The sequence below is a fragment of the Homo sapiens genome, chromosome 17 (assembly GCF_000001405.40).
Source record: "Homo sapiens chromosome 17, GRCh38.p14 Primary Assembly".
Classification (NCBI taxonomy): domain Eukaryota; kingdom Metazoa; phylum Chordata; class Mammalia; order Primates; family Hominidae; genus Homo; species Homo sapiens.
Window position 1 is genome coordinate 72704084 of NC_000017.11, and position 24944 is coordinate 72729027.

General features: G+C 46.8%; 1 protein-coding gene across 27 annotated transcripts in view, besides 6 other annotated features; it reads right to left on the minus strand.

The window, feature by feature from the left end:
• Positions 1 to 24944, minus strand: part of SLC39A11 (solute carrier family 39 member 11) — a 446740-nt gene that overhangs the window by 58135 nt on the left and 363661 nt on the right. For 7 of the 27 annotated variants that reach the window (XM_047435578.1, XM_047435568.1, XM_006721756.4 and 4 more), the window contains one exon: positions 19995 to 21753. The exons of 16 other annotated variants lie outside the window; for them this stretch is intronic. In XM_047435578.1, coding sequence (XP_047291534.1) covers positions 21555 to 21753 — 199 coding nt within the window. In that variant the 3' untranslated portion in view covers positions 19995 to 21554. Of the gene's footprint in view, positions 1 to 8655; positions 8899 to 19994; positions 21754 to 24944 lie in introns of those variants that run through there. 4 more of the 27 variants (XM_017024342.2, XM_006721759.2, XM_047435575.1 and 1 more) reach the window with 1 other exon arrangement.
• Positions 15184 to 15862: an enhancer, noted in NCBI's record as "H3K4me1 hESC enhancer chr17:70715406-70716084 (GRCh37/hg19 assembly coordinates)". NCBI's record gives its function as "activates a minimal SCP1, AML or CMV promoter by ChIP-STARR-seq in primed H9 embryonic stem cells {active_cell/tissue: H9 hESC(primed)}" and the evidence as "EXISTENCE:reporter gene assay evidence [ECO:0000049][PMID:30033119]".
• Positions 15863 to 16540: an enhancer, noted in NCBI's record as "H3K4me1 hESC enhancer chr17:70716085-70716762 (GRCh37/hg19 assembly coordinates)". NCBI's record gives its function as "activates a minimal SCP1, AML or CMV promoter by ChIP-STARR-seq in primed H9 embryonic stem cells {active_cell/tissue: H9 hESC(primed)}" and the evidence as "EXISTENCE:reporter gene assay evidence [ECO:0000049][PMID:30033119]".
• Positions 17223 to 17438: a silencer, noted in NCBI's record as "fragment chr17:70717445-70717660 (GRCh37/hg19 assembly coordinates)". NCBI's record gives its function as "represses an EF-1alpha promoter that drives an FKBP-Casp9 reporter gene in an ReSE screen in K562 erythroleukemia cells {active_cell/tissue: K562}" and the evidence as "EXISTENCE:reporter gene assay evidence [ECO:0000049][PMID:32094911]".
• Positions 21458 to 21527: an enhancer, noted in NCBI's record as "active region_12682". NCBI's record gives its function as "activates an Ori minimal core promoter by ATAC-STARR-seq in GM12878 lymphoblastoid cells {active_cell/tissue: GM12878}" and the evidence as "EXISTENCE:reporter gene assay evidence [ECO:0000049][PMID:35858748]".
• Positions 21578 to 21647: a silencer, noted in NCBI's record as "silent region_8917". NCBI's record gives its function as "represses an Ori minimal core promoter by ATAC-STARR-seq in GM12878 lymphoblastoid cells {active_cell/tissue: GM12878}" and the evidence as "EXISTENCE:reporter gene assay evidence [ECO:0000049][PMID:35858748]".
• Positions 23607 to 23901: an enhancer, noted in NCBI's record as "tiled region #3582; K562 Activating DNase unmatched - State 12:CtcfO". NCBI's record gives its function as "activates a minimal TATA promoter and a strong SV40 promoter by Sharpr-MPRA in K562 cells {active_cell/tissue: K562}" and the evidence as "EXISTENCE:reporter gene assay evidence [ECO:0000049][PMID:27701403]".

Consider the following 24944-nt stretch of genomic DNA (forward strand, 5'->3'; position numbering starts at 1 on the left):
TGCCACTGTACTCTAGCCTGGACGACGGAGTGAGACTCTTTCCAAAACAACAACAACTATTATTTTTACCAGAGCATACCTGCTATTTGCCCAAACACTGTATGGAGCATTTTAGACATATCAACTTGCTAGTTCATGTAATCTTCTTATGGGAGATAAACTATTATCATCCCTCACTGACAGATGAGGAAACCAAGGTACAGAGATCTCGATTCACTTGTTCAAGACTATGTAGCTAGTAAATCGCAGCACCTCGATTTGGACCTAGGAAGTCTGACTTCAGGGTCCTTGCTCTAATGTGGTGCTAGGCTCCCTTTCTGGAGAACAGCTCCCCAGTTTTCCCATCATTTAGATTAAAGAAGTCAAAGATGCGGCTAGATTCACTGGTCCTAAGGAATAACAGTAAAGATGAGGATGTATGTTGACAAATCCCTTTTATTTGATACGCTTTTCAGTGGGTCCTGCAAGGCCCTGAATTTTATGGTAGACTCTATGCATAAAGTGATGCTGTCCCTCAAAAAAGCCAAAGCGCCATCTGTGTGCATTTTATCCACAAACCAATGGAATCAACCATGAAGGACCAGGGGTATGAAGGTCCCCTCTCATACCTTAGCATGACCTGGCAGTTCCCTGGGGGGTCCTCTTCCCCTCTCAGTCCATGTGGTTTAGCTGGAGCTCCAGTCCAAGCTCTAGGGATAAACTGTGACCCTACCCTGAACAATGGGTGCAACTCCATCTCTCTAGCCACAGTGATTGGTCCAAGAGGGAGTAAGTGGCCCAAGTTGGTCTATTAGGATTCCAAGGGAGCTATTGAGAGGAGACGGTCTATTTTGTTTGGACTTGAACCTGGGAGGATATAGGGCTGGAGTCATTAGCAGGAAGCCATCTTAACACCATTAGAAATGGGCAATCATGCCTATGCTGAAGAGAGCAGAGCTGAGGGAGAGAAAAAATAAGCAGAGACCTGATGATATAATTTGAGCCTCTGGACCAAACTGTGCCTGAAACCAGCATCCCAGACTCTTCAGGTCCATGAACCAGTAAATTCTCTTTTTAGTTTAGGACAATATGAATTGTGTTTCTGTGTCTTGCAAATGATATAAATGAAAACTAGAAACATGTCATTAAAGGAGACGCAAAAGTACACTATAATGATACTTTTATAGTGAAGACAGTGGGGAAAAGGCGGTTATCAAGGTCCTGCTCCCTCTCCCCCAACCTTTATCTTAAAGGAGAATGTAAACTTTTGTAGAACATGAGGAATGTGGTTGAATTTATATGTTCCATATTAATAAGTACAGCTGATTGCAACTATTATCAGTAATTTCATAGAATTGGTTCCTGTGTAAGTTATTTACCCAGCTGCATCAATTCTCTCATCCACAGCCACAATGTACCCTTGACACCAGCTGGCCACTTGTAACGATGGGATCTGGGTGACAGGCTGGATTAAGGGTGAATGGGTTGGCCCATCTCTTCCATCTGAAGGTCAACATCAAAGGTGTGGCACCCTAGCAGACAGAGGGCTACCTAACTCGATGGCGGAGGTTGGATTTTGGAATCAACCATGAAGGACCAAGAGTATGAAGGTCCCTGCTCTTACATTAATGTGACCCAGCAGTTCCCTGGGGGAACCCTCTTCACCTCTCAGTCCATGTGGTTCAGCTGGGGCTCCATTCTGAGCTCCAGGGATCAGACTGTGAGCCTACCGTCGACAACGGGTACAATTCCATCTCTTTGTAGTGAATGTGCGACATTCACTACAGCAAAAATCTTTTGCCTGGACCAGTTACTTACTTTATTAATCCTGGATCCAGAGAGTAAAGATCAAGGAAGCACATTTCTTCCTCCCAATGGTTCTATTCTCTGTACATTTTTTATTCCAAGGCCCCCAGAAAACTTTCAGCTATTTTCTGGTCCCCAGGACACGTGGCTGCCAGCTCTCTGCCATCTTGGGAAGTTTAAGTGTGAGGGACCAACTGGCCAGATGGAGCCTCAGGTGTTTGGGACCTGCTGGAACCGGCAAACAGCTGCCTGCCGACACCTTGGGTTTCAGATGTGGGGTGTCATCGTGTTTGTTTTCCTTCTGATTGAATTATTCATGTCTCATTTGTGCACTTCCCTGAAACAATCTCTTCTAGATGCATTTAGAAACTTGAGTCTCTGCGGTTTGTCTGGACTGGTTTCTATTTGAGAAGAAGGGGAGTTTGCTTGTCTAAAGCAAAGAAAAATGGGTTGTACACAAGTCACAGTATCCTTGATTTTCTGTCTCATATACTTCTTTAGTTCTCTCCAGGAATCAGGATTCCTGATGGAATGCCTTCCTTCCCTTTGGAAACTCCCAGTGGAGCACAGGGGCGTGTCTTGCCAACTCTGTAGTGTTCCTAAAGAATTCTCAATTCTCAAAGAACACTCTGGCAAAGAAAGAATGGGAAACACATTGCAAGCTTAAAGGGCAGTGGCAAAACAAATAATTACTGAGCCTGTTGGTAAACAGACCCAAGGAGACAAGTGAATTCAGCTTGTTCACTCTTGCCTGTCAGAAAGAATTTAATACCACCCTGCTTCTGTTTTTCTTCCCCTCATGACCCAAGTTAGAGCTTGCTTAATTTCTGTTTACAATGTAAGTCTCATGGGGAAGAAGGGGGAGAGGTCTGGCCAGAGTAGGGAAGAGGATCTGCCTTCCCAGGGAGTGCTCCCTATGGAAGAGTGGTTCTCATCCTGTCTGCCCAACAGCTACCTGAAGAGCCTGGGCCCCAGCCCAACACAATTCAAACAGAATCACTGAGTAACAGGGCCCAGGCATCAGTATTTGAAAGTTCTCCACTTGATTCCAACGTGTAGTCAAGGTTTAGAACCACTGCTCTAGGGCCGGGCTCTATCCAATATGGTAGCCATGGGTTATGTGTGGCCGTTGAGCACCTGAAATATGGTGAATCCAAATTGAGATGTGCTGTAAATGTAAATATACAGTGGATTTTTGAGAGTTAGTATGAAAAAGAGAATGTAAACTATCTCATTAGCAATTTTGCTAGGCCGGGCATCATGGCTCATGTGTGTAATCCCAGCATTTTGGGAGGCTGAAGCAGGAGGACTGCTTGAGCCCTGGAGTTAGAGACCAGCCTGGGCAACATAGGAAGACCCCCATTGCTACAAAAAATGTTTCTTTAAGTAGCTGGGTGTAGGGGTCCACACCTGTAATCCCAGCTACTTTGGAGGCTGAAGTGAGAGGATCATATGAGCCCAGGAGTTGGCAGTTGCAGTGAGCTATGAGCATGCCACTGTACTCTACCCTGGATGACAGAGCAAGACAGAAAGAGACCCCGAATGACAGATGTCTCAAAAACAACAAAGAAAATAAGTTTTGCTATATTGATTACAACTGACACAATGTGGACCTGTCCCAAGTGAGAATATGTATACATGTATAGGCAGGGAGACACTGGTGGTACTGCAGGGCAGACAGGAAAGCAAATAAAGATCACTTAAGGAGGAGAAATATTGAAGAACTCCTGTGTCATCAAGCAACTATGAACACATCATCATCTCCACATTTACGAGTTGCACAAAGTCCCGATCATTCCCTCTGGCACCCCTACATCCACATGGGTACACATCCTTGTTCTGTTATATTAAGTCAGGGTTCATCTTGTTTCCACCAAAGAGAAAACGGTTAGGAAGGCAAAGCGTACGGCATGGAATAATAATTGCCAAGCAAAAGCCAAAGTTCAGCCTTGAAGCCTCTTTTTATCCATTCTTCTCAAGCATGGCAAAAATATCCTCAAAGGACAACCAGTTTAAACGATAAGGGTTTTATCAGTAAGAGGCAAGTCAATAGAATTTAAAGATAAACACATAATCAATTCTAATTTCTGCAGAACAATAACTACACTATAATAATTTTGTACCAGACATGGTAGTCAATCTGCTTGCCAAGTCCATTGTACAGAACCAGACTGCTCCACTCCAGTTCCGAGGTTCTCCTGGACTCTGGACATTGGCCACTTGCCCTGTATCCTGCTTGAGCAGCCCCAGCAATTCTCATGTGTGATGGTTAATTTTATGTGTCAACTTGACTGGGCCAGGAGGTGCCCAGATATTTGGTCACACATTCTGGGTGTTTTTGTGAGGGCTTTTGGATGAGATAAGCATTTTAATTGGTACAGTAGGCCAGACTGCCCTCCTGAATCTAAGTGGGCCTCATCCAAGTAAGTTGAAGGCTTGAATAGAACAAAAAGACTGATCCACCACCAAGTAGGAAAAGGAAAAATACTCTCCAGCAGACTGCCTTTGAACTAGAACCACACCATCAACTCTCCTGGGTCTTGAATCTGCCAGCCCACTGTGTGAATTTGGACTTGCTGGCTCCCATAATCACATGAGCAAATTCTTCGTAACAAATCTCTTTCTATATATACACATCCTATTGGTTCTGTCTCTCCAGAGAACCTTGACTGGTACATCATGTCATTCTTGCCTACAGCCTGTTACCTCATCTCCTAATATCGGGGATGGTCTCAGGGACCCCCAAGTTCAGGAAGACCCATGGCCACAGCATTGCTTCTCCATTCTTCTACAATCTCTCTGCCCTTTCCAAGGAGAGTTCACTCAGCAGTTCCATTCAGTCTCCTTGAAGATATTCTTCCCAACCCATGACTGAGCATCAAGATTGACTTGTTTTGAGAAGCTGTAGCTAGCTCAATGATAAGCCTTGGATTTGCTTTCTTGCCTTCCTGTGTTGTTCACTTCCTTTTCACTTTTGCTTCTGCGGCAGCACACTGCTCACAACTCATAACGCATGAACTTTGCCTTTGGCTCTGTTTTCTGAGAAACCTAGGCAAAGCCTTTTTTCTTTTCTTTTTTTTTTTTTGAGACGGAGTCTCGCGCTGTTGCCCAGGCTGGAGTGCAGTGACGCGATCTCGGCTCACTACAAGCTCTGCCTCCCAGGTTCATGCCATTCTCCTGCCTCAGCCTCCTGAGCAGCTGGGACTACAGGCGCCTGCCACCACACCCAGCTAATTTTTGTTGTATTTTTTAGTAGAGACAGGGTTTCACCATCTTAGCCAGGATCGTCTCAATCTTCTGACCTCGTGATCCATCTACCTCGGCCTCCCAAAGTGCTGGGATTACAGGCGTGAGCCACCGCGCCCGGCCAAGCCTTTTTCTTTTTAAACTCACTTGCCTGATGAGGAAATAGCTGAGTGCTTTTTTATTGTGGAGACAGGGTCTCATTATGTTGCTCAGGCTCCAGTGATCCTCCCACCTCAGCCTCCCAAAGTGCTGGGAATACAAGTGCATGTCCCCATGCCTGGCTTGAGCTCTTTCTTGATAGGTGTGCTCACCAATTGGCCCAGGTGTGGACACCTGCCTCAAGAGATCTGATGTATAGGCTGCTCTTTCACCTATTGCTTGAGGGTTTCTCCTTGAACAGAGATGAGCTGAGCCAAATATCTTCCTTCTCACTTAATTAAAACTTGATAAAGAAAAAGGTATTCAATGGACAATGGCTGTTGGGCAAAGAAATGATGAAGGAAGTTTGTGTGTGTGCACGTAAGTGTATGAGAGAGACAGGGAGAGAGAGAGAACTTTCCAGGTTCAATTTCAGTTCATGAAGCTGAAGATTTTCTTGCCCCTATTTCCTGTATCCTTTCAGTGAATGTCCCTTTTCACTTCTAATTGCTGATCAACCTGAACTTAACTCTTTTATAAGTAACCTGCTTTTCCTATCTGGATGGTTTTGTGATATTTTATGTATCTGCAACTCAAAAGTTTTCCCAGGATATGTCACATTGCAATTTTCTTTTCATTAAATTCAACTAAAATGTGGTTGATTTCTTTTGAGCTGCATCCTCAGATTATTTTCCCCTCAGGTTCCAGAGGTTTTATTTTCAATTATAATTTTGATTGTTGCTCCTGTTCAAATTGATCTGGTTGCTCTTTGAGGAACATGCAGAAGTCTCTGGGTCATCTGTTCTGCCAACCACACCTATTGCTTCCCCTGTCTCTCTTAATTTCCCTCTTCGTCCTTTGCTTACAGGGAGAATATATCATTTTTCTTTCATACAGCCAGCATGCTTTTCTACAATGCCAGTGCTGTTCTTATCTCCTGCCAGTGACTTTCTACTCTGGCACCATGATTTCAGTTCCCCTGTGGTTCTCATTTTTTAAATCCACCCACCTTTGTTTTCACCTTGATTTGTTTTCTTTGAATCACATCCTGTTATTCTTTCATCTCTGCTTTGGCTTGAATGTGTATGTCCCTCCAAAATTCATATGTTGAAACCAAAGACCCAGTGCAGTAGTATTAAGAGGTGGGGCTTTTGGGGAAGTGATTAAGTCATGAGGGCTCCACCCTCAAGCATGAGATTAGTGCTCTTATAAAAGAGGTTGAAGGGAACACCCAAGTCTTTTTTGCCCTCTTGCCATATGAGGACACAACAAGGTGCCATTTGTGGAGCAGAGAGCAAGCCCTTCACCAGACACAGAATCTTCTGGTGCCTTGATCTTGGACTTTACAGCCTCTAGAACTGTGAGAAATAAATTTCAACTATTCATAAATTACCCTGTCTATTTTGTTGTAGCAGCATGAATGAACTAAGACAATCTCCACCTTATAAATCTTATAAATTGTTGATTTTATTTCCAAGAAGCCACGTAGTGTCTTCCTAGATTATTTTAGTTGAATGAGAATTTGATTTTTCTTCCTCCACCTCCACTACTGGCTTTAAAATTAGGGGAAATTCTGCCCAGATGTTGCTGTCTTTATTTTTAGCATTGTTGAGCAAGTTTTCATCATTTTAATGTCTTCACACAGGGCTTCTGGCAAGATGCTATTTTAAACCAAATGGCCCAAAGTGAAGCTTCTAGAATACAATTCCAATCACATCCTCCCTCCCCCTTTTAAAGCCCTTTAGTGTCTCTGCTTTGCTCTTGCGACAGAATTGCACAACCTTCATACAGCATGCAAGGCCTCTGATGATGTGGGTCCTGCCTACCTTTGCAGCCTCTCCCTTTCCTCCTTCCCCACCTGCCTGCCTAATTCTTATGCAATCCTCAGGACTCAGCCTGGTTGCCTAAGGCAGGCTCTGCTCATTATTCCCTTATCCATTCCTCAATAGGAAAAGAATCCCTGATCCTTGGCTGGACACATGGTTGCATGGAATAAAGACAGCCTCCCTTGCAGCTAGGTGAGAACATGTAACTAAGCTTCTGGCCAAAAAAATGTGAAGGGGAAAAGACGGGTGCAACTTCCGGACAGGTCCTTAAAGGGGGGAAGTGTATTTCTTCTTTACTCCCTCTGCCTCCATCCCACTATTTGGGATGTGGAAATGATGGCCGAGTACCACTGTGGACCAAGGGGCTAGAGATGGTAAAGTAGAAATCTAGACACAATCTAAGTCACAGATGACCGTGGTGTCATGCTACTTAACTCTAGGTGAGAGAGAAATCAACTTCTTATTTATACCATTATAAATTTGGATTCTGTTACAAAGAGCAAACCCATATTCTAAATACTACAGAACTGGCACTGTAAGTGAAGTACTGCAAGTAACAAGACCTAACCATGGGGCAACAGCTTCCTGGAAGCCCTTGAGTGCAGGCGGTGGGGACACAGGAACATTTAGGCTGCAAAGCTGGAGATTCCCATCAGGTTGAGCAACACCGTGAGTGACATCTCCCCTGGCTGCCCCTTGATGGTCATAGCTCTGGGGGGAATTTTTCTGTAGGAAAAATTCAGAAGTGTGGCATGTGCTCACTTTTAGAAAATTCTAACGAAAGACATGAACAGCCAGAAATGGAAAGGAACAGACTTGTGCAAGAAAAGAACCTTTCTCTGTCTCCTGCTTTCTAGATTGATGGAAAGGCCCTTAATTTGAGAAAATGCTTCTGTACCTTGAACAGAAGCAGTTAAAATGAAGGCTGCAAAGCACAGGGCTTAGTGAGGGATTAGACTGATGCCTTGTCCTACAAGGTCTGCTGGCAGAGGTGGGACAAAGACTGTTGCCTCCCCATGCAAGCACATTTGTTTCAGAAGACTCAAAGTTGTTGTCATTAAGCTGAGAGGGAGCAGATGGGCTGAGCCAGAGACCTATAGAGAAAGGACTGGGTCTTCAAGAAGGAAGACAGACAGGGGACAGGCTCCAAAGACATGTGACATATGTGGACTTCTTCTCCCTGTTTTCATCTGCCTGTGGCAGGGCCTGCCTGCCTATTTGAGCTAGCCTGCCGGGGGATAACACAGTCAACCTTGCTGGGCAGCGTAAGGTATTTACCAAACACTAGAGGCCAGTTCTCACTCCATCTTGAAAGACCAAAGAAAAATAACAACAAAGGTCAACCCTCCCTTTATTTTTTTTGAAAGCTTCTACTGAGTTTCAGTTAATAGAGTTTTTGTTTTTTAATAGAAGGTGATCTGAAAGGCAATATGGAGAGAACACTTGCAGGATGTCTTGGATCCACCTAAAATTTTGGATGGCCTTACCAGAAAGCAGTGTTTGTGAGTTTTGATGTTAGAATTTTCAGTGTGCTTTGAAAGGTGTCCAGTGCTTTGCCAGGCGACATGAGGAACTTTCCACGAAGCTTGAAGGTAACCCTCCCCTAGAAAGCTGCGGTGCTTCCTTGTTTCCTCACCCACAAAGACCCTTAGTCAAAGGATACACATTCATGTATTTTACTAGACAACAGAGTGAAACATTTTTTAAAAAAATTTTTACCTTGAAAATCTATATTGTGGGTCAGAGTGGAGATATGATCAGCAGCAGGCCAAGGGACAGGCCAAGGAATCCCGGATCCACAATAGGAACAGATAAGACATGACATGAGGGCATGGGGAGAGGTGAAGTCAGTCGGTGTCAGGAAGGCAGGTTAAGTCCAGGGCAGGAAACCAAGTTCAAGACCCTGCAGATGAGGGGGCAATGGAAAAGTCAGTGCCAATAAGGAAGGATGGATTAGCAGCTCAAGATTCAAGCAGACAAGACAGTCCTAAGAGTCCAGGTACAGGGGAAGGTAAACAGGAAGAAGCAGGTTCGAGCAGGCAAGACATGGCATTGAAGCCCGGGGTGATAAGACTTAGCCCGTGGAGTTCGTGGTGGAGACTTCTGGATCCACAGACCAGGTTTGTAACAGGGTAAGAATCTCGGCTGAAAGATTAGGAGCCACAGTCCTAAAGCCTGGGTCAGAAACTGGGTAACGAGGTGGGAGCCAAGCACAGGTGAGCAGCAGCATCTCCCTGTTTCTCCATCCACAAAGGCCCTTGGTCACCTTGATAGTGGGCCCGCATCTTACAAAGCAGGAGCTCCTCCTGCACTCCCAGCCAGGGTGTAGATGGGAGAGTTTCCAGGGGGAGGCAGCAGCCCCACACCACTGTCCTAGACAAACCACATTACCCTTAATACAGATTAGTGACTGCCAGGTCAACAGAGTGAAACCCGAAGGGTTCTCATACATTGCCCTTAACTCAGTCATCAAACTCTTCTTCTTCCTCCTCCTCCTCTGGATCCCAATCTCTCCGAAAGGTATTAATAGCCAACTAGCTGTACACATAAAAAAAACTGGGAGGGGTTTCTAGCCATTCTCAACCCCTATATCTAATTGGACCCCAAGTCTAGCTGATTTTATTATACTTACAAAATGGTAAAACCAAATCCTTCCCCTGCAATGTTCTTCCATCACCTCCCTGCCATCCCTCATCTGAGGGTGATAATAACAGCTATAACTTCTCTCATTCCAGGGCTGTGCTAGATGCTTTTCAAGTGCACTCTCGCTGAATCCCCCAACACTTTGACCCTGGAGCCATTCATAGGCCCATTATACAGATTTTAAAAAAGCAAACTGAGGCCCAGAGAAGTGAAATGACATTTCAAAGCTCACCCAGCTGGTAAATAATAACGTCAGGGACCTCAAATTTAGATCTACAGTCCACCACAAAGGCCGTGCATAGATATTAGGTTTGCCGCAAAATTGTGGGTTTTGGCTGGGTGCAGTGGCTCAGGCCGGGCGCGGTGGCTAAAGCCTGTAATCCCAGCACTTTGGGAGGCCGAGGCGGGTGGATGACCTGAAGTCAGGAGTTCGAGACCAGCCTGGCCAACATGGTGAAACCTCGTCTCTACTAAAAATACAAAACTTAGCTGGGTGTAGTGGTGCGCACCTGTACTCCCAGCTACTTGGGAGGCTGAGGCGGGAGGATCGCTTGAACCTGGGAGGCGGAGGTTGCAGTGAGCTGAGATCACGCCACTGCACTCCAGCCTGGGTAACAGAGTAAGGCTCTTTCTCTCTCTCTCAAAAAAAAAATTAATAAAAATAATAATAATTGCGGTTTTTGCCAATGAAATGGCAAAAACTGCAATTACTTTTGCACCAGGCTAATACTGTTCAATAATGGGTCGCCAAAAAAGGAAGGAAGCAGGTAAGAAGCGCAGCAGCCAAGTTCATAACCCTGCTGCTGACAGTGTCAACATCCACCTCCTGCTGAGTGCCTGCTACGCAACCAGTACCACCCAAGGGCTTTCCTTCCACTTTCATTTACCCCTTCAGGAAATCCCATTTACAGATGAGGAACCTGATCCTTAACAAGGAGAAAGAGCTTGAGTTTGCACACCGTGTCTGTGTTGAGCCTCCTTGGTAAAGACCAGAGAACACCACCTTTTTGTGATTATGGGGCTGTCCCCAAACCTGTCAGGAAGGCGGATGACATGGTCTGCAGCTGTTCACCTCCTGTGGACTGCCCTGTTTCAGATCTGGGTTCATGGAGTGTTTCACCTGCCTGGCTGAAGAAGGAACGTGGCCGTACTTGTGAAGCTAATAGTGAGAGGTTCATTTGTTTAAACAGCAGTTGGTGGAAAAGCATGGAATCAAGGATCTTTACACGTACATATTCAAAACCACTTCACCTCGCATCTTGCATCCATGTAGCCCCTTCACGCTCACAATTTTTCCTCTCGTGATGTCTATTCTCACTCAGGGCCAACTCCACGGGTGTGCGACCAGTGCAGCATCCCAGGGTCTGCACTCAGGAGGAGGTAAGGGTTGGCTGCATACATCTCATGCACCCAGCCACGAAAGGGGCCCCGGGAGCCCGCGAGAGGCTCTCTCCTCCAGGAAGTACCCCTCTGCCCAAGGGCACGATGTTACAAGGCAGATAAGATGCACCATGACTAAGTTCTTCAAAAAATTAAAAATCAAATTACCGAATGATTTAGCAATGCCTCTTCTGGCCATATACCCCAAAGAACCTCAAGTGGGGTCTTGAAGAGATATTCTTACATTCATGTTCACAAGCAGCACTATTCACAAGAGCTAAATGGTGAAACAGCCCAAGTGTTCATGGACAGACGAATGAACAAACAAAATGATGCATCCGTGCAACCTAATATTGTTCAGCCTTCAAAGGAAGAAAATTATGACACGTTACAACATGATGACCCCTGAGGACATTATGCTAAGTGAAATAGGACGGACACAAAGGGACAAATACTGTGTGATGCCACTTCTATGAGGTCCCTAGAGGAGTCACATTCATAGAGACAGAAAGAAAATGGCAGTTGCCAGGGGCTGGGGGGAGATAAGGAATGGGGAGTTAGTGCCTAATGATTAATGTATACATAACATACCATGTACCATCTTTTTTTATTTTTGATTTTTGGTGGAGTCTCGCTCTGTCACCCAGGCTGGAGTACAGTGCTGTGATCTTGGCTCCCTGCAGCCTCCGCCACCCGGGTTCAAGCGATTCTCGTGCCTCAGCCTCCTGAGTAGCTGGGATTACAGGCATGTGCCACCTGTAATTTTTGTATTTTGAGTAGAGACGTGGTTTCACCATGTTGGCCAGGCTGGACTCGAACTCTTGACTTCAAGTGATCCGCCCGCTTCAGCCTCCCAAAGTGTTGGGATTACAGACGTGAGCCACCGTGCCCGGCCAAAATGTACCATCTTGATCAATTTTTAAGTGCACAGACAGGTCATGGTAAGTGTGAAAAAATACCTAACTCCCGCCCTCGTTCTCCTCGCACCCTCCCTGACCCACCCCAAAAAGGCCCAAGGGAGCCCCCCTGCATTCCCAACCTGCAGGCATGAGGTCATACAAGCGGGGTGTTGGGCAGAGGCCCCTGGCAGATGGCAGGGTAGGGCCCCCAGCACTCCATTCTGGACAGAATGAAAACCTGACGACCTATCTGATGGAATTACACGGAAGAAAGGAAATTCGTCTTTTAAGAACAAGCGGGAGGCGGATGACTGAAGTCCCAAAGAATGCTGTGGTTGAACCTTTTTTTTTTTGTTGTTTGTTTTCTGGCACAGTCTGTCTCTATGACTGAGCTGAGTAACGTGTTTCCCGTGACAAAGGCCCCTTTCTTACGACAGTTTAATAGCTCCAATACGGGGGACAGCCCTGACTCTCCCATGGGCCAGCGTCTGAAGGCGGCCACAGAAAAAGGGAGGGAAAGCCGCCGCTCTTCTCCAAGTTGGTCCAGACTGAACTGAGAGAGTATAAGGAAAAAAAAAATCGGAAACTTTAACCCACTCCTGAAATAAAAAATAGAAGTTACCAAAGGGATGGGGAACACACATGCAGAGGCACAGAGAAGAATATGGATGAAAAAGTGGCCTCAGAGCCCGGTGTGGTGGCTCACGCCTGTAATCCCAGTACTTTGGGAAATCGAGGTGGGCGGATCACTTGAGGACAGGAGTTTGAGACCAACCTGGCCAACATGGTAAAACCCCATCTCTACAAAAAATACAAAAATTAGCTGGGCGTGGTGGCAGGTGCCTGTAATCCCAGCTACTCAGGAGGCTGAGGCATGAGAATTGCTTGAACTCAGGGGGTGGAGGTTACAGTGAGCCAAGACGATGCCACTGCACTCCACCCTGGGAAACAGAGGGAGACCCTGTCTCAAAAAAAAAAAAATATATATATATACACACACACACACACACACACACACACACACATATACACATATAAAATATATATACACATATATACATATATACACATATAAGTATATGTATATATGTATATACTTATATGTGTATGTATATATGTATATATGTATATACTTATATGTGTATATATATGTATATACATATATATAAAAATAAAAATTTTAAAAAATTTAAAAAGAGGAAAAAAAAGTGGCCTTGGGGCTTTGCGTCCAACTGTGAGAGGAAGTGGAGAAAGCTAAGAGAGGACCTCAGGGACAGAGAAGACGCCGATGGAGGTAGGGAGACCCGATGCCCTGGTTTCTTAACAGCTGCTGTGATGAAGTACCACAGGGATTTGTTCTCACAGCCCTGGAGGCCAGAAGTCCAAGATCAAGTTGTCCGCAGGGCTATGCTCCCCCTGAAGGCTCTAGGGGAGGATCCTCCCTCGGCTCTTCCAGCTTCTGGTGGCCCTGGCACTTGGTGGCATTCCCCAGCTTCTAGACACATGACTCTAGTCTCTGCCTCCACTACCACAAGGCCGTCTTCCCTCCACGTGTCCCTGTGTGGCCACGGGGCACTGTCCTCTCCGCATGTGTCATCCCTCCTTGTTTTATAAGGGTACCCAGTCATGTTGGACTTAGGCCCACCCTAATCCAGTACGAGCTGATCTTAACTAATTACATCTGCAAAGATCCTACCGCCAAATAAGGTTACAGTCACAGGTCCTGGGGATTAAGACTTCCATACCTTTCTGGGGTGCATGACTTCAGCATCGCTCCTTATTCTGGAACTTACAGGACAGGTCACTCTTGCTCTGTAGCTCTCCCTCGGAGTGACCCTGCACATCGGCTGTCTAGGAGGTGAGGCTGGAGAAGTGAGTCATGACCGCAAGGCCACCAGATCACCTCAGTACCACCTGTCTGGAGTTTTCCCTTCTTTCCCCCTTCCTGCCCCCGGTATCTCACTGCTGGGCGGCACTGGCAAGGGTTATGGTTCTTACCAAAGTAACACTCATCTGGAGCAACACTCAAAACCATCTTTAACAGAAATATTTGCTTCCAGTTAACACCGAATACAAAATCTCTATCTGTCCCTCACTGTGGATTTTTTACCTAGGCTTGCATTTCGTAATGAGCCAAATGAGGTTTGATTTTAAAGAAGCATCTGGGCTGAGGGCAGCAGCTCATGCCTGTAATCTCAGCATTTGGGGAGGCTGAGGCGGACGGATCTTTTGAGGTCAGGAGTTTGAGACCTGGTGAAACCCCGCCTCTACTAAAAAGAGAAAAAAAAATTACCTGGGCATAGTGGCAGGCGCCTGTAATCCCAGCTACTCGTGAGGCTGAGGCAGGAGAATCGCTTGAACCTGGGAGGTGGAGGTTGCAGTGAGCTGAGATCAGGCCACTGCACCCCAGCCTGGGCAACAGAGCAAGACTCCATCTCAGGGGAAAAAAAGTGTCTGACAAATTGGAATTACTATAGTCAATGTTCAAAGGATTCATAATGGGAGATTAGACATTTTCACAACTGAGTTGACCCCATTTCCCACACGACTTTGGGGGAGAGTTTTGAAGACCTTGGGGTCACAGCCAGGCACGTCACTTAACAGCAGAGTGATAATTAAGAGCACAGGCTCTGGAGCTGGTCACCTGGGTTCAAATCCTAGAGGAGTCAAATTCATAGGGACAGAAAGTACAATGGCAGCTGCCCCTCACTTGCTGTGTGCTCTTGGACACAGCCTGCTTCTGTAAAATGGGAATGATAATTTCCAGCTTTCTTGATTGTTCCATGATTGCTAGAGGCTGGCAGAGGAAGTTTATTCGTGGGCTTCTGAATCAGATGGAAGTAAGTCTTGAACTCCTGGCCTCAAGTGATCCTCCTGCCTCAGCCTCCCAAGTAGCTGAGATTACAGGCATGAGCCACCATGCCTGGCTAGACAGAAGTAAGTCAAATCCTGAATCTACCAGGTTCAGTGGCTCACGCCTGCAATCCTAGCACTTTGGGAGGCTGAGGCAGGCAGATCACCTGAGCTTAAGAGTTGAAGACCAGCCTTGGCAACATGGCAAAACCCCGAATCTACTAAAAATACAAAAAAAAAAAAATTAGCCAGGTGTGATGGCACATGCCTGTAGTCCCAGCTATTTGGGAGGCCGAGGCATGAGAATCACTTGAACCTGGGAGGTGGAGGTTGCAGTGGGCCAAGATCATGCCACTGCACTCCAGCCTGGACAACAAAGACTCTATCTCAAAAAAAGCAATCCTGAATCTGCCTCTTACCAGAAGAATGACCTCTGAGCATTTCCCCTGCCTCCCGAGGCCCCGTGGCCACATGTCCATACTGGGATGGCAGCGAGGACTGAGCAATGCATGTAAGCAGCACCAAGTGCCACATGTCCCCACGAGTGCGACACAAGCACCAGTGCTCCTGAGCTGCCTTTCTTGGCGTACCAAGCAGAATGTTTTAAAATGAAGACCCTGCCCCCCAGAACTAAACCGCACCCACAGCTCCCTCTGTAGTGGCCTGACCTTCCTCAGCAGGCTGCCCTGGAAGACAGAATTGCTTTCTTCCCCAAGTCGCTTGTAACAAGCTGTTGGGGAGGACGGACAGGGCAGCAGTGGGAACGGAGAAGAGAAAAGAAGTGTGCGTCATCTCCAGTGCCCGGGAAAGCCGCAAGGAAACCACACTGCCATTTTCAGAGAGCTTGACGGGGCCCTCCCTCCCCCAAGGTCTGCTCCAGGCTAACAGAGTATACGTTGTGCAGAGATAGCTTCCTGTGCCAAGATGTCCAATCCCTGTCGCCAGGGACTTGGGTGGGGGTGGCTGGGGGCAGTGGCAGAGGAGGAAAGGGCCGCAGCATAAAAGCCCCTTGTGCTGCTCATGGAGGAGACGCTGCTGCCCGGCGGATGGGGGAGGGGCAGCACTGTCATCTTCCTTTTTGCTCTGAGAAGGTGACTTGTGTGGTTAGATGGAAGGGGCCCCCAAATGAGTCCAGGAAACTGGGGCGCAAAAGGGAAGCAGCTCGTGTGCTTGTGTGGTCTGGAGGGGCCGACCCTTGCCGTCGACACCCCTAGCACAGAGCTGACCACGCATTGCCTGGTTCTGGGTCCCGTGCAGAGCATAAAAGAGGTGACCCAGGCTCTGCTCCCAGGGAGGACACAGGAGAGAGAAAAACACCACACAACGAAGGCTGGGGACAAGGGCTGGGCAGTACCAGGGCCAGGGCTCATGAGCATGCACAGTCCATGCTGTGATAAGATGACGAAGTCAGCCTGGGAGGGCCTCGGGGGAAAGAGGGCAAAGGATGTGAAGGCCCCTTATAAAGCACGGAGCTCTAGAAACAGGAGTAGAAGCAGTGGGAGGGCAGAGCAGCCAGGCACACTCACAGACCCTGCTCCTGGACCTGGGCTCCGAGTAGCCAGGCACACTCAGAGACCCTGCTCCTGGACCTGGGCCCCGAGGCTTGGATGTCAATTCCCTGCAGACAGTGGAAGCTACTTCTGAGACAGTTCTTCTCCTGGGGAGGCAGGGAGTGGGGAGTGCTTGTCCTGGACCTGAGTGGAAATAGAAATGGGCTGGCCATCTAGCTGTAGGATGTGTCATGGGTGTGCCAGGAAGCAAGAGCAGTAGCTTCACCATGGACAGTGCTACCTACCATCCACCAGGCTCCACTCAGGGAGCTTTTCCTAGAGAAATTCAGTTCATTGGTCAGAACAATCCACTGAGGTAGATACTATTATTCTCATCTTGCAGATTAGGAAACAGAGGCACATAAGAAAAGCAACGCATCAAGGTCATAGACCCAGTTGATGAAAGAGCCAGGATTTGAACCCAGGGAGTCAAGCCCCAGAATCCATGGTCTTATATAGCATCAATAGTGCCTATTCATCCCCCGAACACATACAATGAGGTATGAGGGGGTCTGCAGTAAGTTAAACTTGATAGGAAACAAGACCCACCCACTCCCCCAGGCTCTCCCACTTAGCTTCTCCTCCTGCCTGGCCAGGTCGCCTCATAGCCTAGAACACCCCAAAAGAGGTAGGTTCTGGGGCCAGAGACTAGACTAGGCACAGACTTGACTGCTGTCCCTCGCCTTTTTTTTTTTTTTTTTTTTAAGTTTTGAGACAAGGTCTTGCTCTGTTGCCCAGGCTGAAGCGCAGCAGCGCGATCTCGGCTCACTGCAACCTCTGCCTGCTGGGTTCAAGCGATTCTCCCGCCTCAGCCTCCTGAGTAGGTGGGATTACAGATGCATGCCACCATGTCCGGCTAATTTTTGTATTTTTACTAGAGACGGGGTTTCACCATGTTGGCCAGTCTGGTCTCGATCTCCTGACCTCAGGTGATCTGCCCACCTCACCCTCCCAAAGTGTTGGGATTACAGGCAAGAACCACCATGTCCGGTCTTGACTGCTGCCCTTACTAGCTACGGGGCTGTGGACGAGAGGCATCTCAGTGCCTCAATTTTCTACATCTGTAAAACAGGGCTCATCTTGGGTCCATGTGTGATGATTCAAGAGAATGAAGGTAAAAGACAGCACAGGACTGGGCACACAACAAGCACTCAGCAGAGCTCCCCTACATAACACTCATCATTACTGTGGTCCATGGACCAAGATGCAGGATGTGGCCCTGAGAAAGGCCCTTGTCATGATGATGCTCTGTGTTTGAGAAACAGAACTTTAAAAGTTAAAATTGGCTGGGGGTGGTAGCTCATGCCTGTAATCGCAGCACTTTGGGAGGACGAGGCAGGCAGATCACTTGAGTTCAGGAGTTTGAGAGCAGCCTGGCTAACATGGCAAAACCCCATCTCTACTAAAAATACAAAAATTAGCTGGATGTGGTGGTGCATGCCCATAATCCCAGCTACTCAGGAGGCTGAGGGAGGAGAATCGCTTGAACCTGGGAGGCAGAGGCTGCAGTGAGCAGAGATGGCGCCACTACATTCCAGCCTGGGCAACAGGCAAGCCTCCATCTCAAAAAAAAAAAAAAAAAAGTATACCCTGTAACTCAGCTGTGAATTAAAAAATTATTTTTCTCTCGGATATTATTCTGTCCCAGGGCCCCCATTTCCATGAAGTAGCCAAAGAAAAAAAAAAGGTCAATCCAAAGGAATTCAGTATCTTCCAGTATCAATTTCTTTTCCATGCTAATGATTCTCTTTTGGGATAATACTTAGGAATTCAAGAATCGAGATCCCTCCTAGGGCTGTGACTTCCTTCTCTCAAAAAGACTCCCCTTCCCTCCCTGCCCTCCTCTCATTGATGGCTTCTGCACACAGGGAAAGACAACAGGGAAGCAAAAGTCAAGGGAACACATTTTAAAAATACACCGTCCAATTTCAAGAAACTAGATTTTCAACAGATGAAAACAGTAGCAGAATAAATTGCAGAGTCCAGATCATCTTGTCGCATTGCCCAATGGAGTTCAAACGGATTAGTTTGTATCAAGAGCATAATGACAAACCAGGTATTATTATGCAAGGTTTTCATATTGTTTTACAGAATTTGAACTGGGGTGGGGTGGGGGAGGGAAAAAGTAAGGTCTTTGGAAGGTCTTTGGTCTTTCTGTTTGGAAGACAGAAAGGACTTTGTTTTATCCTGAGCTCCTGATTTCATGAACTAATTTCTGGTGGTAAATAACACTTTTTTTTTTCTTTTTTGAGACAGAGTCTCGCTCTGTTGCCCAGGCTGGAGTACAATGGCACGATCTCAGCTCACTGCAACCTCCGCCTCCCGGGTTCAAGCGATTCTCCTGCCTCAGCCTCCCGAGTAGCTGGGATTACAGGTGCCTGCCACCAAGCCTGGCTAATTTTTGTATTTTTTAGTAGAGACAGGGTTTTACTGTGTTTGCCAAGCCGGTCTGTATCTCCTGACCTCAAGTGATCCACCAGCCTCGACCTCCCAAAGTGCTGGGATTACAGGCATGAGCCACTGCACCTGGCTGCACTTTCTAGAAGGGTGATCTCTCATAAAATAATTCACTGACCATGGCGGTCTACGATTGCATCTTTCCTTCAATGCCTTCACTTTGAAAAATATAAAGGGTGGCCGTCGTTTGTCAGTCTTTACATATTTGGGGGACGTCTTCATTGTCCAACAAAGCCCAACAGTCTCATAGCCATGGATACAATCTGCCTTTCTCACATGATGCACGTAGAAACTGAGGCACATACAGTAAGGGCCGAGTGCTCAGTCAGGTTGTCAGGTGCTTGTCAGGTGAAGTCCCAGATGCTTCATAGAGAGATGTCACCAGGAGGACAGAGTGCTGAAATGAGCACGTGTCTTAAAATCCCTCCCAGGATTTTCTTTGTCTTTGTAGGAGTGTAAGAGTGTGTGTGTGTGTGTGTGTGTGTGTGTGTGTTTGCAGCCTAGCTGTCAGGAGGTCTGGATTAGAGAATTTCTCCATCCTTCAAAGGAAAACCATCTTTCAGAGTAAGTAGTAGCAGGAAGAGATGGATGACAGTAACTGGATTTGTAATACCAGTGAGGCCAACCCCAAACACACACAACCATCACCCTACATGTGGATTGTCTGTGCTAGGAGAAGAAAGTACAGGCGTGAAGAGTGCTAACTTCAGAACACCCCAAAATCAACTAGATTTTTCTTTTTGCCATTTTTGAGGTGATACATTTACTTTTCGAATGACTTCCGTTGAATAATGTTATTTGTTCCATCAGTCCTGGGGAGTGAAGAAAGTGGGTCGTAAAAGTCTGCCAGACACAGACGAAGCCAGACCAAGATGGAACCTTGTGGGCAATCTCAGGTTAGCAGGTAATCAGATCATTCACCCATCTGTCCATCTGTTTATCCAATTCAACCCAGAGATTCACAAGCACCAGGCTCCATGATGGCATATTTTGCAGGCAAATGGCTATTAAGTTCTTCATTCTCCTCCACGTGTTCTGGAAAATCACCAGGTTTCCAGGTAACGACGGGATTGTATTTGTCAGCACAGAACTGGGGATGTGGAGGACAAAGTCTCCAAGGAGTAGTTCTTCTTCCCTGGTAGGATTTCTCAGTCAAAGAAAAATCTTAGACGTGCAACTATTGGGCGATCAGTGGTGCTAACACGGGAACACACATCTTACTGGCAAAACACTGTCCCTTTTATTTTTTTTTTTCTGTAAAACGTTGCTCTTATTGGGAGCTTGAAAAGCATTATCATAAAAAGCCATGGGAAGGGAGAAGGGGAGAGGAAAGAGAGGGACAGAGGGGGATAAGAATTGCCCAGGTTTGGACAAGGACTCTGGAGATGAGGCCCAAGATGATTCATTTCTCCCTGTTCGCTTCCCAGCCCTCAATCCCATCTGGCTCCTTTCATTTGAGTTTTCTATTGCAATGCACAAAACAGATAATTTTCCAAAAGCTTGCTCAAAAGCTTCCAGGTGGTCCAAGAATGGGAGGGGCACTTCTTGCAGTTCAAATGGGACAAGAGAAAAAACATCAAGAAAGCGGTGGGGGGGAGTGAGCTTCAGAGGGGAAGCTGAGACAATGAGGAAAGCAGACCTTTTGAGACATCCTGGATGTTCCCTCCACCCTCTGAAATGGAAACATGACCAGCTACAGACAGATCAGCTCTTAGAGGGGAGGAAAGAGCCCCAGGGTTCAGGAACCAGGAGCTCTGACTTGAGTCATCCCTGATGACTTCCTTTTCCACTCTGAGACTTCAGTTTCTTCACTTATAACATTAGAGACTTGGGCTAGATCAGGGATTTTCTGCCAAGTGCAGAGGGGAACTTTCATGGAAAGGGTGGTATCTATTCCATCCAGAGTGTTCGCTTAGGAACTTGTTCCAAAAGCTCAACTGCTAAAAAAAAAAAAAATACTTAAGAGGCAAGATGATCTTTCAAAGTCATGTCCAGCCCACCAGTCCTACAAATTCAAGCCTGTTTTCCCAGTTGCAGTTGATGAAATAACTATTCTAAGTTCTCTCTCTCCAAAAAGATGAATCCTGTGCTCAGTGAATCTCTGTGGATTGAAGGGATGGATGGATGGACAGACTGATGAATGACTTGATGGCAAATTACATAGGATGGTGAGAACCTGTTTGATCCTGGTCTGGCTTTGCCCATGCATCCGGTGGACTTCCTTGGCCTGGCCCACTTTCTTCACTTCCCAGAACGCATGCAATAAATAACATTATGTTTTTAAGTCACTAGAAAAGTAAATGTCACCCTCTCCCCTCCAAATGGCAAAAAGAAAAACTGAACTGATTTTTGGGTGTCTGGAAGTGAGGACTTTTCGCACCTCTATGCTCCCCTGCTAGGGTAGACCATCAAAAGCTTGGAGTAGCTTCTGACACTTTAATTGGCCCATTTCACATTTCTACCCCTCTACGTAGGGTCACATAAAAGCTATACTTTTATTCCCAACATGGGAAAATAAGACAATAACGAGCTTTATAAATGCTTAATTAAATGGGGGGTGAAAAATCAGGGTATAACAGCCAGAATATAAGGATGTTACTATTTTGAAAAATATCCAAAGCAAAGTTGGACATGTCCAAAGTTACATGTAACTTACATATATGGTCCTTAGCCTTCTGCAGATACACCTTCTGTACAAGCCGAACATAGATTTGGATAGCGACACACAGTCACCTTTCCTGGTCAAACTTTTTCCTTCTGGTACTGTGTCTAGCAACCTATGCTACCAAGCTACCGCGTGGTGGCGCCGTCTGTCCACCGCTGCCAGCCGGCACTTTCAAATTCCACTGTCTCTTTGTAAGGTGAGGCTGTGTAGTGTGGCAGGATGAGCCAGGAAAACTGAAGAGAAGGAGCTGCCAATAGATCACTCTAGAATTCCAGACAGGGTAGTGTGATAGGTTCAAGAGAAGAGCTTGCCTGCATAAAATAAAATTGAGAGCACAATGTGCGATTGCAGATAAAGAATAGAACAGGATTGTGCCGAAGTGACTCAAGGGTGGGAGGGGCATTTTTCTGCTGTGAAAGGGTGGGGACAGTGGGATCAAGATGTCAAAGTATTTTCTCCACAAGTACCTTAGTGTCCTCAGGCTGGGTCTCCAATTCTCAGGCTAAAAGCCACTCTCCAGGGAGACCAGGCTGGGAATGCTGAGACCCAAGTTGCTAGGCAGGGAGGAGGTTAAGATCAGCAACTTTGAGGAAGTAAGGGTCTCCCTAGGATGCTCCACGAGTCTGGGAGACTGAGTGCTGCCTGGGGCAGGTCTAGGCATTGCAAGAGCAGCTGCATGGAGGCTTGGAGGGAGCCAGTGAAGACAGCTTGCTTGTTCAAAGATGTTAGAGTGAACTATAATTAAAATGTTTCCATGTGAGTTCTCCGAGACTCCTCCCCGCCACAACAATGAAGTCTCCTTTGTAACTTCTCTACAGGTAACCTGCAAGCATGCTTTCAATAATCTACAGGATGCACACCTGGAGTCCCAGCTACTTGGGAGGCTGAGGAGGGAGGATTATTTGAGCCCAGGAGGTCAAGGCTGCAGCAAGCTATGATTGTGCCACTGCACTGCGGCCTGAGCAACAGAACAAGATCCTGTCTACACACACACACAAACACACACACACACAATCTACTGGAGCAAAAGTAGAGGGGCTGCTTGGACAGGTAGACACACATGTAACGTATCTTACACATACAGACATGCTCATCTACTAGCTAATGTTGATGAATGACCAGGAAAATATGTCAAAATATGCCACTTTTCTTTCTAAATAAAGGGTTGCTTTGTTAACTAATGGCTGCTGTCTTAAATAATTGTTAATATATCAACATATATATGTATAAGCCAGGGGAAAGGATTTATCTGACTTACGATCTTTCCTCTTTGATCAGAGAGGCAAACATATATCTTAAAATTGGTTTTGATGCCTCCATGTGTAATTTAATGGGCTATACTACATCCAAATGTAGACTAATCAACCATGCCTCCTTTACCAAGTGTCTGGGTGTTGATTAGCAGTAGCTGGTCCGGTCATATCTTGGGGATGTGTTTTGTGGACTATCCATGGCACACTAAAGTTCGCAGCCAGCCTCCTCTGCTGTGCACAGCCTGCTCTGGGATGGCCGCTGCACCTGTAGGTCAAGGCAGGTCCACAGACTACAAACGTCTCTTGACGCGTGCTTAGTCAAAGCTTAAAACAGGAAGTGGTATGTGAAGCTGAGTGTTTAAGCATAAACAGTCTTACTCTCCCTGCTGGTTTGAATGATGCCTGCCACTGAGTGAAGTGGGAGCTGAGGGCATGTCTCCTCTCCAGAGAACATGTTCTTTGAAGTGACGATACAGCAGAAAGGAAAACCGCTTAAGCATGCAATTCCCCAAGCACATACGGTCTGAAGAATTCCTCTGTGATTGAAACAGAAAGAAACTGCTATGGGACCAGAACAGAAAGAAGCAAGCTGGGGCCAGGCACAGTGGCTCACGCCTGTAATCCCAGCACTTTGGGAGGCCGAGGCGGGTGGATCACGAGGTCAGGAGATGGAGACCATCCTGGCTAACACGGTGAAACCCATCTCTACTAAAAACACAAAAAATCAGCCAGGCGTGGTGGCGGGTGCCTGTACTCCCAGCTACTCGGGAGGCAGAGGCAGGAGAATGGTGTGAGCTCAGGAGGTGGAGGTTGCAGTGAGCTGAGATCGTGCCACTGCACTCCAGCCTGGGTGAAAGAGTGAGACTCCGTCTCAAAAAAAAAAAAAAAAAAAAAGAAAGAAGCAAGCTGTGTTTCCCTTGAACTACAGGCCTCCCTCTGCTGGCTGAGAGTCTTCCTAATTCAGGAGACAATGACCTCTGAATGAACACCTTGGTGCAAGCTGACCTGGCCAGGTAGGGAGGTGGACAGATGGGAAGGAGCTGGGGAGGGCTCCAGGAAGGTGAGGAAGTAACGGCATCTGTACACCAGATGGCAGCAGCCACACACACATGATAGGCGAGGTGCCTGCCTGTCTTCTTCCCAGGTCAGAAACCCCTGAAGTGGGAACTGAAGACAGTGCCTTCTTGGAATAGTTCCTTTTCTTGTGGGTGGCTATAATGCCACAGGCGACGTTTATATGAAGCCTCCTGCTTCAACAGACAGGGCACAAGCAAGAGGTCATAAAAAAGACAGTTGGCCTCAGAGTATTTAATGATGAATATGGGCTAAAAACAGGGATTGTGTCCACTAAAGGAGGGGTCTAACGCTTTCTGAAAAGGGTCAGATAGCCAGGTGTGGTGGCTCACGCCTGTAATCCCAGCACTTTGGGAGGCTGAGGCAGGCAGATCACTTGAGCTTAGGAGTTGGAGGCCAGCCTGGGCAAACTCAATCTCTACAAAAAATACAACAATTAGCTGGGTGTGGTGGTATGTGCCTGTAGCCCCAGCTGCTTGGGAGGGATGCTGAGGTGGGAGGATCGCTTGAGCCCAGGGGGTCGAGGGTGCAGTGAGCCATGATTGCACCACTGCACTACAGCCTGAGTGACAGAGTGAGACCCTGTCAAAAAGAAAGGGAAAGGGAAAGGAAAGGAACAAAGGAACAGGGAGGTCAGATAGTAAATATTTTCAGCTTTGCAGATAGTAAGTATTTCCAGCTTTTCAGCCTTAAGATTTCTCTGGCCATTATGCAGATCAGCCACTGTAGCACATATGGAGCCAAAGACAATATGTAAACAAATGGGTGCGCGTATGCTCCAATAAAGCCTCATTTCCAGAAATAGGTGTTGGGCCAAATTTGGCCCGCAGACCATAGTTTGCCAACCCCTCCACTAAAGGAGTCATAAACTATCTGGCTCAGTTAGCTTGGTGCACGTGTACCCTGGGCCTGTACTGGGTAACGCTTTCCCCAATCTGTGTAAATGGAGTCCTTCTTCCCTCTCAGTTCACTCCACGGCACGAGATTAACCTACGTCTCCTTGTCACTTGGACTCAAATTCTCCCTTCTCCCTTCCACGCGACAACAAAATCAGCTGGCAAACGCTGTCTGTGGGTTCTGTACGCAACAGCTCTTCCTGGGATCAGTCCTCATTCTCATGGTCATCACAACATCCAGTATCTTCTTCATTGCTGCTAAAACACACAGCAGTGGGG